Genomic DNA, 13,402 nt, shown 5'->3' with positions numbered 1-13,402 from the left:
CTGTTACATGCTGACAAAGAGCACTATAGATTAACATCATTTTGTTAGAAATTTTAGCAAGCTCTTCCTGGAGGTTTTCCTTCACAAACACTGTTACTGCTTGGGTTTAGACGTCAAATGCATTATCGTCTAAATCGCTCTACTTCTTTCAAGATGCTTATAGGAGTTGAGCACACAAACCTAATAGAGGAAAAGCAATTTTGTCTTTTTTTTTTTCAGTGTGCTGCTTTCTGCTGGTAGCTTCATTTAAAGCAAGTGAGCATCACATTTTTAAATCAATATTAAATGCTGAAAGGAATTTGAGAAACGTTTCTCAAATTTGGGCACTTGTGGACTATCAAGAGTACCTATGAGGACTACAAAGATTTTTCAATTTTAAAAATTCAAAACCTCGACTTTAGGTTTTGGTTTCATGGCTGTGCCCAGTTATAAAGTGGTCATCTAAATGATCCACAATTTGTGTATGTGTTTATATTACCATAATTATAAAAACAAAGCACAGTCATCCCTTCATAGTCATGAGTTATACATCTGTGGATTCAACCAATCCTGGATCAAAAATACATTTTTTTGAATCGCATCTGCACTAAACATATGCAGACATTTTTTCTTGTCATATTCCTTAAACAACATGGTATAATAACTATTTACATATCATTTACATTGGATGAGGTATTATAAGTAACCTAGAGCTTATTTAAAGTACAGTTATGTGCTACATATTGATGTTTTAGACCACATATACAATGGTGGCCCCATAACATTCTAATGAAGCTGAAAATTTTCTACTGTCTAGTGATATCACAGCCATTTTAACATTATAGTGCATGGCATTGCCTTTGCTATGTTTAAATATGTTTAGATACACTAATACAGTTGTATTCCAATTGCCTGTGGTATTTAGTACCCTAACATGCTGTACAGGTTTGCAGCCTAGAAGTGATAGGGCTGTACCATATAGCCTAGGTGTATAGTCGGCTATATCATCTAGGTTTGTGTAAGTACATTCTATGAAATTCACGCAACAAAAAAATTGCTTAACAACATTTCTCAGAATGTATCCCTATGGTTAAGTGATTCATGACTGAATAGAGGAGGATTTGCATATAATCTATAGAGGAGGATTTGCTTAGATTATATGCAAATACTATGCCATTTTATAACAGGAACTTGAGCATCAATAGATTTTGGTATTTGCAAATACTATGCCATTTTATAACAGGAACTTGAGCATCAATGGATTTTGGTATTTGTGAGAGGTCCTGGAATCAATTCCCTAGAGATACTGAGGGAAAACTGTACTTTAAAATTCTACTGGACCACTTGTGGACACATAAGCAGATCTGTAGACCTCAGTTCAAAAAAATATTGACCAGCTGATATAGTACCATTTCATAGGCGAGAAAACTAAATCCAAAGAGGCGTGGGAACCTTGTCCAGGATCACCAAAGAGTTACAGAGAGATGTGTTGGTAAGAAAATTGTGAGTGTGTGTGTATGTGTGTGTGTGTGCACACATGCGCGTGGGCCTGTATGAGCATGTAACTTAGTTTGTACCACCTGGTTTTACTTTGCTTTCTATCTTGAAACAATGTATTGAACTTTACTTAAAGGTTATGGTCATACTGAATCCTGGAACACTACTTGAGAAAATGGTATTATAATTAATCGAAATATTAGTGTTTATTCTTTGTCTTATTTTTTGTAAGAATCTACTCATCCAATTAAACATGGAAAGCCAAAAGTGTATTGTACTGCCAAAAATGAAAAAACAACATATGCCTGAATTCATGGAAGGACTGTGTGTAATGTAGAAGATAAAATGAAACATATGGAATATGTAATAAAAAACAAAATCAAGCATATTGATTATAGTTACCTAGTGATTGCCTATTTAAATACTAAAAATTTAAGAATTTAATTTAAAAGACATCAACAATATTTATCTATTAGTTATAAAATATGCCAGGAGATGGTTATCACAGGATACCTTTTAATCTACAAATGTTGAAATTTTAAGTTTAGGCAAATCAAGGAATGACAATGACATCGGCAATGAAGTTCAGATCTTCAAACTTGCAGTATCTCCATCGGAGCAATTTTCAATTACAAGAAGATAATGTAGTTAATGTGCCTCTTCGTCTCTCCAATAATAGTAATGCAGTTTATTTTTACAAAGAAGTCATAAATGCTTTCCATTCTATACATGGAACATTAAATAAATGCAAAAAAAACCCACCTCAGCTAGATTGTTTCAGATAGCATTTTTTGACAATTGCTTTATAGTTCCAATTTCTATGAGGCTTATATAGTAATTTATTTTCTTTTTCTTTTCTTTTGAGAGATGGAGCCTCCCTCTCTCAGCCCAGGCTGGAGCACAGTGGCATAATGATGGCAGTTCACTGAAACTTGAAACTCCTTGGCTCAAAGGATCCTGCCATCTCAGCCTGCTGAGAGGCTGGGACTATGGCACCATCCCTGGCTAATTGTTTTAGAGACAGACTCTCGCTATGTTGCCCAGGATGGGTAATTTCATTCTTAAAAAGAATTTTAGGAATTAAAGGAAATATCTTCTTTCAATTTATTTAGAGGTGTAAGTTTTGAGATATTTATTTATAATTTTAAATGCTTTTGTTTGATAAACTAAAGCAAGTTTAGACATTTTTCTAAACCACATTAAAGGAATTATTAAAACATGATTTTATTGGATATCTAACTTTATCACGTTAGCTTATGCTGGGTAACAGCTTTCTGGAGCCCACAAGGGGGCAGACTAAGAACGTATGAAAGAAAACAATCCTTACGCTGTAGTCACTAACTGGCGGAGTTCCGTTCCAACTGAATGCATTTGGCTTTATTTCCTTTTTACTGAATTTTATCTTATTTTCTTCTGACCGAAAGCAATTTCAGTTTCTTTGCACTGTATTGGAAAATTGAGCACTTAAAAATCTAAACTCATTTGACGATACGCATCTTCTCTCTTATTGTCTTCTAAGTGAAAACTGTACGGAAATCATACATGATTAAGCTGAAGAAGTAAATTGTAATAATTTCTAATCCATTATTTTACATTAATTTTTAAATAATAGTTTGTTTGTTTGTTTGTTTATTTTGAGACAGAGTCTCGCTCTGTTGCCCAGGCTGAGGTGCAGTGGCGCAATCTCGGCGCAATCTCTGCTCAGTGCCACCTCCACCTCCTGGGTTCAAGTGATTCTCCTGCCTCAGCCTCCCGAGTAGTCTGGACTACAGGCGCGTTCCATCATGCCTGGCTAATTTTTTGTATTTTTAGTAGAGATAGGATTTCACCATGTTAGCCAGGATGGTCTCCATCTCCTGACCTCGTGATCCGCCCACCTCGGCTTCCCAAAGTGCTGAGATTACAGGCATAATTTGCTTATTTTCAAAAGAAAACGACAAAATAACTGTCATTTTTAATATCAATTGTATAAATCAGTATTTTATTAATAAACGGTTCTGGCATTCTTGCATTTCCTTTAGTTTTATTGTGTCCTTGTAATTCGATTGCAACCTTTAAACATCTCTCTGTATTTACCAGAAGATTATTTGATTAGTTAATAAAATATTTTCTAACAGGAGCTGTTTTTGGCAGGGAGGTATTATTTTTATCTTTGCTCATATATTTCACACTGGTAATCATGTGTAACAATTTTGAGACTAAACTATTGAAAGTCATTCTTTAGCAAATAAAGTAAAATCTCTTTTTAATTGATTCTTAATCATTAAAATAATTTTCAAAATATTTTCAAGGAATATGTCCAACTTCGATTCACTGTAAATAAATGAGATTTAGCTAATATACTAATGCATGTTACTTCTAATTTAATTAGATTAAAAATAGAATTCATCTAACAGTCTATATACTTAAATATATTCAAGCAAAGTGTTTTACTTAAATTAGTATAAAGTATGAAGTTTCTTATTTCCTAAGCCAATCTTCAATTCCAAATTACTGATTGAGTTCTAGCTCATGTATATAACTTCTCGTATACTCCAGGGAGCCACAGTTTAATCTTATTGACAATTTCTTTGTTTGAGATTTTATGTATATGTGTATACCTATATATACACACACATACATATGTACATATATGCATATGTGTACACGCTATATGTTCATATTTGGTATTTAATTTATAGAATAAATATTTTAAAGGTTATAAAGTTGTGATTAGATCTCTAAATAGATACTATGTATCTTTACTTAAGGATAAAGCGTATGCAGGAGAAAAATTTTCCAAGATTTGAAATGGTCATAGCTGAAAGGCCAATTTACATGTAATCCTGTTAAATTGGTCCTCACCCTCAGAAAGTTAAGAAGCGTTTGAAAAAAGATGCATTCTCTAAACTTCGAGTATTTTACAGGCATAGAATTTTAAAGCTGACACATAGTGAACATTGCACTATTAGGATGAGCCACTTTTTAGGGAAGGGAGTTTAATCACCAGAGAGCATAATTCTGGGAACTCTTGAAGATCAGAAGACTGTAACTTTTAGCTTTAGTAATTTAGAGTTAAAAAGAACATGAAGTTTCTTTTTGGATGGCATGAACTAATACTGGTATGCCTGGTTCATCCAGAAGCAGTTAGAACATGTCTTTCCAGGTCTCGGAAGTAGAAGGGACTGCAGGTTTGCTGAGTCATAACACCATATGGCATAATAGCAGGGCTCCTTGAAGAGCGAGTCACCTCGTGAAGACTTTGTGGGAGGTCGAAACCTTTGGAGAATCTGAAGGCTCAGCTTGAAAGGGAAGAGTGACATTGTGTCATCAAGAGATAAATGAAGAGTATGTTTGATAAAGAGTTCAGCTGACTGGTGTTTTACTTTACTTGTAAGAAAGAGGGCTCACTCAGATACAACCTCCAAATGAAGTCAATGGATGTTCACTAAGAAAAAACAGCTCTAGAATGAAACACTCAGCCTTCTTTTGCAGGCTTGTAGTCTTTTTCAGCACTTTAAAAGTACTGACAACGGTGCCTCTTGTTTTAAAGAAATTGGCAAATGAGAGAGAAGCCTCCTCTCAGCCTCCTCTTGATTTTTTATAAGAGACTTCAGTTTTAAAGAATCTTGGACTTTCCAAAATGGGCTATTTTTAATTTTATAACAATGCTCAAGCCTAGGGAGAGGAGGAGCTAAGAATTTTTGAAATGCCATTGGAAATAATTCCAGCCCTAATTAATCTCTTTTTGGCATCAAGAGAAAGAAATTGTGAATATTTATTCTAAGAGAATAATTTAAAGTACTGGTACCAAGATTAGACCCCGTTTAACAATAATATAATATAAAATAAACTTGAAAAACTCCGGGAAAGCTATGAAAAGTTTATTTTATTTTATTTTTTAATTTAATTTTATTTATTTTCAATACTGCTCCTCCTGTAAATGAAAAATTTTAAAGGCTAGAAGGCTAGACATAAGTTACATGAAACAATCAACAAGGTTTAGTGATTTTTTGGCATTTGGTAACAACCAGCAGCTGTGGTTTTTTTGAGGTTAAAATGGTCACCAGCCACAGCTGTGTGCTTTTTTTCCCACTGCTTCCTTTTGACGGGTTGCTGGGCAGATATTCCTCAGGTCCAGGTTAAAGAGCTCAGAGCACAGAGGAAATCAAAATCTTCTCCTGGATCCTGCGTGTCATGCCCCCTCTGGCACCTGGTGAGTTTCTAAATGCCTGAGCACCTTTTTGGTTTACTGGGTATTTGTGCAGCTCAAATTCCCTCCTGCCGCTCCCCAACACATACACTTAGGGCCAAAGCAACATACCAATTTGCAGTGATTCATTGCAGAATGTTAAATGCTTTTTCCACTATTGAGGTACATCAGAAGTGGTATTGATTTGTTTATATGGTAAAGAAACTAAGCATAATTAACTCTTGATTATCCACGTTGCACACTATTAACAACAGAGCTGTGGATCTTTGCGGCAGTCTCAGGAATCTTGAGATTTTCCTGAGGTTACCTAGTTAGTGGTTTTATACTTAATCTGGTATTTGTATGATTCAGATTCCCTTGTTTTCCTACCACCCTTTCTAAGAAAGCAAAAAGTAGTCTCCAAAATCCTTAAGCAATTGATGGCAAAGCCTTTGAAACTGGCCTATGGGGGTTGGCTTCCAGCTCTGCCACTTATTAGCCATGGGACCTTGGAAACCCATGTAAATTCAATTTCTTCCTTTTCCTTCTCTGCAAAATACCTATTAATATTGTTGTCAGCCGGGAGCGGTGGCTCACGCCTGTAATCCCAGCACTTGGGGAGGCTGAGGAGGGCGGATCACCTGAGGTCAGGAGTTCAAGACCAGCCTGGCCAACATGGCGAAACCCCGTCTCTACTAAAAAATACAAAAATTAGACGGGTGTGGTGGTGGGTGCCTGTGATCCCAGCTGCTCCAGAAGCGGAGGCAGGAGAATCTCTTGAACCCGGGAGGCGGAGGTTACAGTGAGCCGAGATCGCGCCACTGCACTCCAGCCTGGGCAACAGAGTGAGACTCCATCTCAAAAAAAAAAAAAAAAAAAAAAAAAAAAAAAAAATATATATATATATATATATATATATATGTATACTTATATATATATTTTATATATGTCAAAAAATATATGTATATTTTTATATATACTACATATATTGTTTACCTAATGAAATTGTGAAAACTAAATGTGTGCACACACGTATTTATATATTCATTTAGTTCTATGATATATACATATATACATATATGTATGTGTATATCTGTATCTATCTGTCTATCTATCTATCTATCTATCTATCTATCTATCTATCTGTAGGATTTTCTAAGATATATATTTCCTAAAGTAAAGTCTGATGAATATTATTGGTGGGTGATAAATATTACTACTGGGAAATTGAAACACTTAAATGGTGTTGGAACTCTGTACATGAAAAGAAATGTTCCTCACTCTCTAAGTCAGTGTTTCTTGATCTTCCTGTACATTGAAATCTTGTGAAGAGCTTCAAAAAAATACTGATGCTTAGGCCATACCTTCAGAGATTGAGACATAATAATAGCTCAAGGTGTGGCTTCAGCAAATGATGTTTTAAAACTCTCGTGTGATAGTAATATGAGACCACTGCCCTATGTCATAAAGGAATGACTTGACTTCACCCTTATATTTTAAGGTTGGGGAAGGAAAAAGGAAGTTACAGAAAGTAACTGCATGAGCCACAGGTTTTTAGGAGACTATCTGACACTTTTTCACATCTTATTTTTAGCATTGACAGAACCAATTACCCCCTTCCTCTTGAAATTCTTATGTCCCTGCAAATTCCTCAGAGACACTCCCCTAGTTTTTTTGCAGCTTCTCAGGCCACACAATCACTGCAGGTATAGCCAGGGCCTCATTCTGTTTCCATTTAGTGTCTCTGCAGTCCACCTACCACACTGTTCTCCTAAAGATCATATCACGTACTGCATCAATCAGAGCAACCTTCAGTGTATTTGGCTCAGCAGCCCAGGCTCCTCAGAACTTCACTTCTCCAGCCAGCTTCCCTGCCTTCTACTCTCTAGGAAAGATGTCAAAGGATGAAGTGAACTATGTGGTTTACTGCCTCCAGGATCTCCAAAGCATTGTTTCTCCTGTTGCAAATGCTTTCCCATAGCTATCCTCTTCACTGGGGACTCCTGTTTGTTCCTCCAAATTCAGGGCAAGTGTCAAGGTTTTCTTGGCAGTATGCTTCCTTCCTTCTTTCCAGTCTGAAGAACAAAATTCTTATTTCTATCAATTGAAGTGGTTAATATATTTATCTTTCTCTGTCACCAGATTGGTTTTATTTCAAATGTTCTTTTTTTGGAATCATCTAAGGGCTTCTTGATGAAGGAAAATTCTGGGTAGTGGTATCTCAAAATTCATTTGTTAAAAGAACCCTTTGAGATGATTCTTAATACACAACAAATTTGAAGAAACATCAAAATCAAGAGTCATTTACGTGTGCACATATTGAGAGGAACAATCCTTACACAGAAGCACAAACGCTTAGTTCATCTATAGTAATAAAAGGTGAAATAGACGATAGAGGTTGATATAGGGTGAGAACTTGTGGAAATTTTCTTCAATTGTTTCTGTGTCCTCGGTGAAATAGGAAGCACAGTTATCAGCTGTGATAAAAGATGGCAGAGGAGGTATTGGAGACCTGATGAGAGTTAGGAACAGAAGTCTCAAGGGACTGGAAAATTATAGTATGATTGCTAGGCATTATTAAAGGCATAATCGAGGTTTACAGACTTCATTTAAGTGGGAAATTTCAGCACTTTTTTGGTTTTCTCCAACCATGTGTAACTGCATAGGTACATGTGAAGAGTAGGCAGTAGGTGAATGTCTTCAAGGTTGGAGTTTTGATAAACAAGTACATTAGTAGAGATCCACGGGGGTTGATGGTTGATGGCTTATGCAAGGGAGGCATTGCTCTAACTGACCACAGAACATATTCTGGGTAAGGAAGAGAAAAAATTACATTAGGGCAATGAGGAAGAGTGAAGTGTTGGATATAGTCAATGAATTTTAACTTCTATTATTTCTTAAATGTTATTAAAATTAGAGACCCAACTGGAGTGAACTGGAATGTTTGGTATTGATATTATAGAGTAGGCACAGTAATTGATCATAACACATTCTAGGATTGACCATGAGAGTTTTTTATCCACTAAAAGAACAAGATTATTAGGGGAGAGAATTCCAAACAGCTGGGATTCTAGGTAGCTCGACGGATCATCTAGATAAATACTGAGATTACCAATGTAATTGTGAGATATTGTCAGTGAGCTCAAAATCTTTTAAGATATGAGGGAGAGTAACACAGGGCTCAGGAGTTGACTACAAAAAGGACTGATAGTGGTGGTAAGGTCTATTGCAAGCTTTTTCTGTAAAGGGTCAGATAATAAATATTTTAGGCTTTGCCAGTCACATATAGTCTTTGTTTCCTGCTCCTGTTCCTCCCTCCTCCTGCTCTTCTTGCTCCTGCTGTTGCTCCTCCTGTTCCTCCTCCTCCACTGCTACCATCACTGCTTCTTATTTTTCTTATTTTTTCCACAGTGCTTTATAATGTATAAACCATTTTTAGCTTAGAGTTGTTCAAAAACAGGCAAGAGGTTGAATTTGGCCAGTAGGCTGTGGGTTGCTAACCCCTGAACAAAACTGGCGGTAGAAGGAATGTTCTTCAAGGAGCAGTAAGGCAAATCCGTACCTCACTCCTAGCCCTTGTGATGTAAGGAATATAGAGAAAGCAGCGTCCTCAAGTAAGTACTAAATTTCAGTTGTTAGAAGTTGAAGAGGAGGAAAATAGAAAATGTTGGAGAATTCCACCCCCCCCCCAATTTTTTGCTGATACTAATAAAGCCAGAATACACTTACGTGTACCAGTCTGTCTTGTAGACCTATGTTTCAATTTGTTTTGAGAAAAACACCTGAAATAGAATTGCCAGATCATTGGAATTTTTGGATTTTCTCCCAAAGTAATCCCCCTGTTTTGAAATTGTATCACTGCCACTCAATTTTACTAAAAATTAAACTAATCTAAAAACATTATCACCTTTATGAAGATAAAGTTCCAACTTTCAGAATGTTAATTTCATAGATCTCAGTAGGCTGACACTCTGACCTGCTTCTCCTGTCTGCTTTTTGCCTTTAGGACAAAAAGCAGAATATCAAAGTGTCAAAGAAAATATTTGCTTAATGTACAAATATCACAGATAACAGTTAAAAACCCCACTTTCTGGCCAAGAAGGTGTTTGCTTGTTAGTATCCATGTTAGTGTCACTGCTTTCTACCCTTGAAGAAGGATCAGATAAAACAATAGCACACGCCAGGCATGGATGAGTTCTAGAGATTATTTCAAAGCAGCCAACACATTTTTTATTTGTACATGGTACAGAAACGGTCAATTTGGGACCATAATCCAACTTATGTTTCTATTCATTACCTTTAATATTAACCTACAACTCTCCTTATTTACTCAGAAAATCATCATTCCACAATTGCTTTTTAACAAATTCCTGCTGTAGATATGTGTGGCATATTCTACTAGTTGCCTATATTATTGGTTTCTTTCCTTTCCTTTTCTTTTCTTTTCTTTCTTTATTTTCTGCCTGTTTTACAGATTAAGTGCTTTTATCTTTTTCCAACTTTTATCCCCTGGACTTTTTTTTTTCATTTTTCATTATTTTAAAAGTTTTGGGGCAACAGGTGGTATTTGGTTAGATGGATAAGTTCTTTAGTGGTAATTTCTGAGATTTTGTTGCACTCATCACCTGAGCAGTGTACACTGTCCCAGTGTGTAGTATTTTATCCCTCACCGCCCTCTCAACTTTCCCCCCAAGTCCCCTGTGTTCATTATATCATTCTTATGCCTTTGTGTCCTCATGACTCAGCTCTGACTTATAAGTGAGAACATATGATATTTTGTTTTCCACTCCTGAGTTATTTCACTTACAGTGATGGTCCCCAAACCCATCCAGGTTTCTGAAAATTCCATTATTTCATTTCTTTTTATGGCTGGGTAGTATTCCATGGTGTGTGTGTGTGTGTGTGTGTGTGTGTGTGTGTAACATTTTCTTTGTCCACTTGTTGGTTAATGGGCATTTAGGCTGATTCCATATTTTTGCAATTGCAAATTGTGCTGCTGTAAACATGCGTGTGCAAGTGTCTTTTTCATATAATGACTTCTTTTCCCTTTGGGAAGATACCCAGTAGCAGGATTACTGGATCAAATGGTAGTTCTACTTTTAGTTCTTTAAGAAAGTTCCGTACTGTTTTCCATAGTGGTTGTATTACTTTACATTTCCACCACAGTGTAAAAGTGTTTTCTTTTACACTTTTGTCCACATCCATGCCAACATCTATTATTTTTTGATTTTTAAATTATGGCCTTCTTGCAGGAGTAAGGTGGTATTGCATTGTGGTTTGATTCGCATTCTCTGATAATTAGTGATGCTGAGCATTTTTTCATGTTTCTTGGACACTTGTATATCTTCTATTGAGAATTGTCTATTCATGTCCTTAGCCCATTTTTTGATTGGATTATTTTTTTCTTGCTGATTTGTTTGAGTTCCTTGTGGATTCTGGATATTAGTCCTTTGCTGGATGCATAATTTGCAAGGATTTTCTCCCACTCTGTGGGTTGTCTGTTAACTCTGCTGATTATTTCATTTGCTGTGCTGTGCAGAAGTGTGTTAGCTTAATTAAGTCCCACCTATTTATTTTTGTTTTTGTTGCATTGGCTTTTGGGTTCTTCATCATGAACACTTTGCCTAAGCCAATAGGTAGAAGATGTTTTTTCCAACGTTATCTTCTAGAATTTTTATGGTTTCAGGTCTTAGATTTAAGTCTTTGATTCATCTTGAGTTGATTTTTGTGTAAGATGAGAGATAAGGATCCAGTTTCATTCTTCTCCATGTGGCTTGCCAGTTATCCCAGCATCATTTGTTGAATAGGTTGTCTTTTCCCCACTTTATGTTTTTGTTTGCTTTGTTGGCTGTAAGTATTTGGCTTCATTTCTTGGTTCTCTATTCTGTTCCATTGGTCTACATGCCTGTTTTTATACCCGTACCATGCTGTTTTGGTAACTATAGCCTTGTAGTATAGTTTGAAGTCAGGTTATGTGATGCCTCCAGATTTGTTTTTTGTTTGTTTGTTTGTTTGTTTGTGTTCTGCTTAGTCTTGCTTTGGCTATGTGGGCTCTTTTTCAGCTCCACATGAATTTTAGAATTTTTTTTCTAGTTCTGTGAAGAATAATGATGGTATTTTGATGGGAATTGCATTGAATTTATAGATTGCTTTTGGCAGTATGGTCATTTTCACAATACTGATTCTACCTATCCATGAGAATGGGATGTATTTCCATTTGTTTGTGTCATCTATGATTTCTTTCAGTAGTGTTTTGTAGTTTTCCTTGTAGAGATCTTTCACCTACTTGGTTAGGTATATTCCTAAGTATCTCATTTAATTTTATTTTTTTGCAACTGTTGTAAAAGGGGTTGAGTTCTTGATTTGATTCTCAGCTTGGTCACTGTTGGTGTATAGCAGAGCTACTGATTTGTGTACTTTTATTTTGTATTCTGAAACTTTACTGAATTCATTTATCAGATCTATGATCTGATGAGTCTTTAGGGTTTTCTAGGTATATAATCATATAATCATATCACTGGCAAACTGTGACAGTTTGACTTCCTCTTTACTGATTTGGATGCCCTTTATTTCTTCCTCTTGTCTGATTGCTCTGGCTAGGGTATTGCCTTATTTCTTAAAATAAGAATGTGCAATTTGCCCAACTACTAAAATTCTATTTTGCAAAATTCCTTGTGACACCGTCCTAGAAAATGAAATATAAGAAGTCTCTTTGTTGGATCTTCTGAGATTACTACTGTTTTCCTGATAAAATAAAATTACCTCAAATACAGCTCTTCTGCCATATCCCTTCTCTGCCTAGATATAATATTTAGACGGTACTCAAAAATACAATTATAAGTATGCACACACAAACAGACACTGAGGATGGTGAGTATATTAGTCTGTTTTCATGCTGCTGATAAAGACATACCTGAGACTGGGAAGCAAAAGGGGTTTAATGGACTTACAGTTCCACATGGCTAGGGAGGCCTCACAATCATGGTGGAAGGCAAGGAGGAGCAGGTTATGTCTTGCATAGATAGCGGCAGGCAAAGAGACAGAGAGCTTGTGCAGGGAAACTCTCATTTTTAAAACCGTTAGCTCTTGTGAGACTTATTCACTATCATGAGAACAGCATGGGAAAGAGTCACCCCCATAATTCAATTACCTCCCACTGGGTTCCTCCCATGACACATGGGAATTGTGGGAGTTACAATTCAAGATGAGATTGGGGTGGGGACACAGTCAAACCATATCAGTGAGTACAAAGATAGAAAAAGCTTTAGTCCCTGATAACGGTGTGGAGCTTCTGCGCCATCTGAAGACTGCCTGTAGTTGGGCTTCTTTATAATTAGAATACACTACATAGTTCATAGTTAATACAAGTAATTCTGCTCAGCCTTAAAGATATTCCATTTTATTTTTCTCCCTGCAATATTGGGATGGGCTTTTCAGAGATTAAAATTTTCTCTGATTTTTCTATCATTGGTCAGTGACTTCCACATCTGTAGTCTTTGGCTGTTAGGTCAGTGTTCATCCCAAATATTTCTTCTGTCTTTACTAAACTTCAGTTTCTCTACCTTTCCTCAAATAAAAAGCAGCTAATTCCCCAAAGTACCACAGTGATTTTTTTTTTTTTTTAGCATTGGTTAGTTTAACACTTGGTATCTGAATTCTAAAAGTGTTTCATAAAGAAATTTACAGTGGTAATAAATTGACATTTCACTGAGGCAACTGCTTTTGAAAAGAATTGGCACTTAATTCATATCTGTG

General features: G+C 36.0%; 1 long non-coding RNA gene across 2 annotated transcripts in view; it reads left to right on the top strand.

Moving 5' to 3' along the window:
- Positions 1-13,402, top strand: part of AADACL2-AS1 (AADACL2 antisense RNA 1) — a 176,997-nt gene that overhangs the window by 86,226 nt on the left and 77,369 nt on the right. The window lies entirely within an intron of this gene.

The sequence above is a fragment of the Homo sapiens genome, chromosome 3 (assembly GCF_000001405.40).
Source record: "Homo sapiens chromosome 3, GRCh38.p14 Primary Assembly".
NCBI lineage: Eukaryota > Metazoa > Chordata > Mammalia > Primates > Hominidae > Homo > Homo sapiens.
Note: the sequence above shows the minus strand (reverse complement) of the source record. Positions and strands in the feature narration are given on the sequence as shown.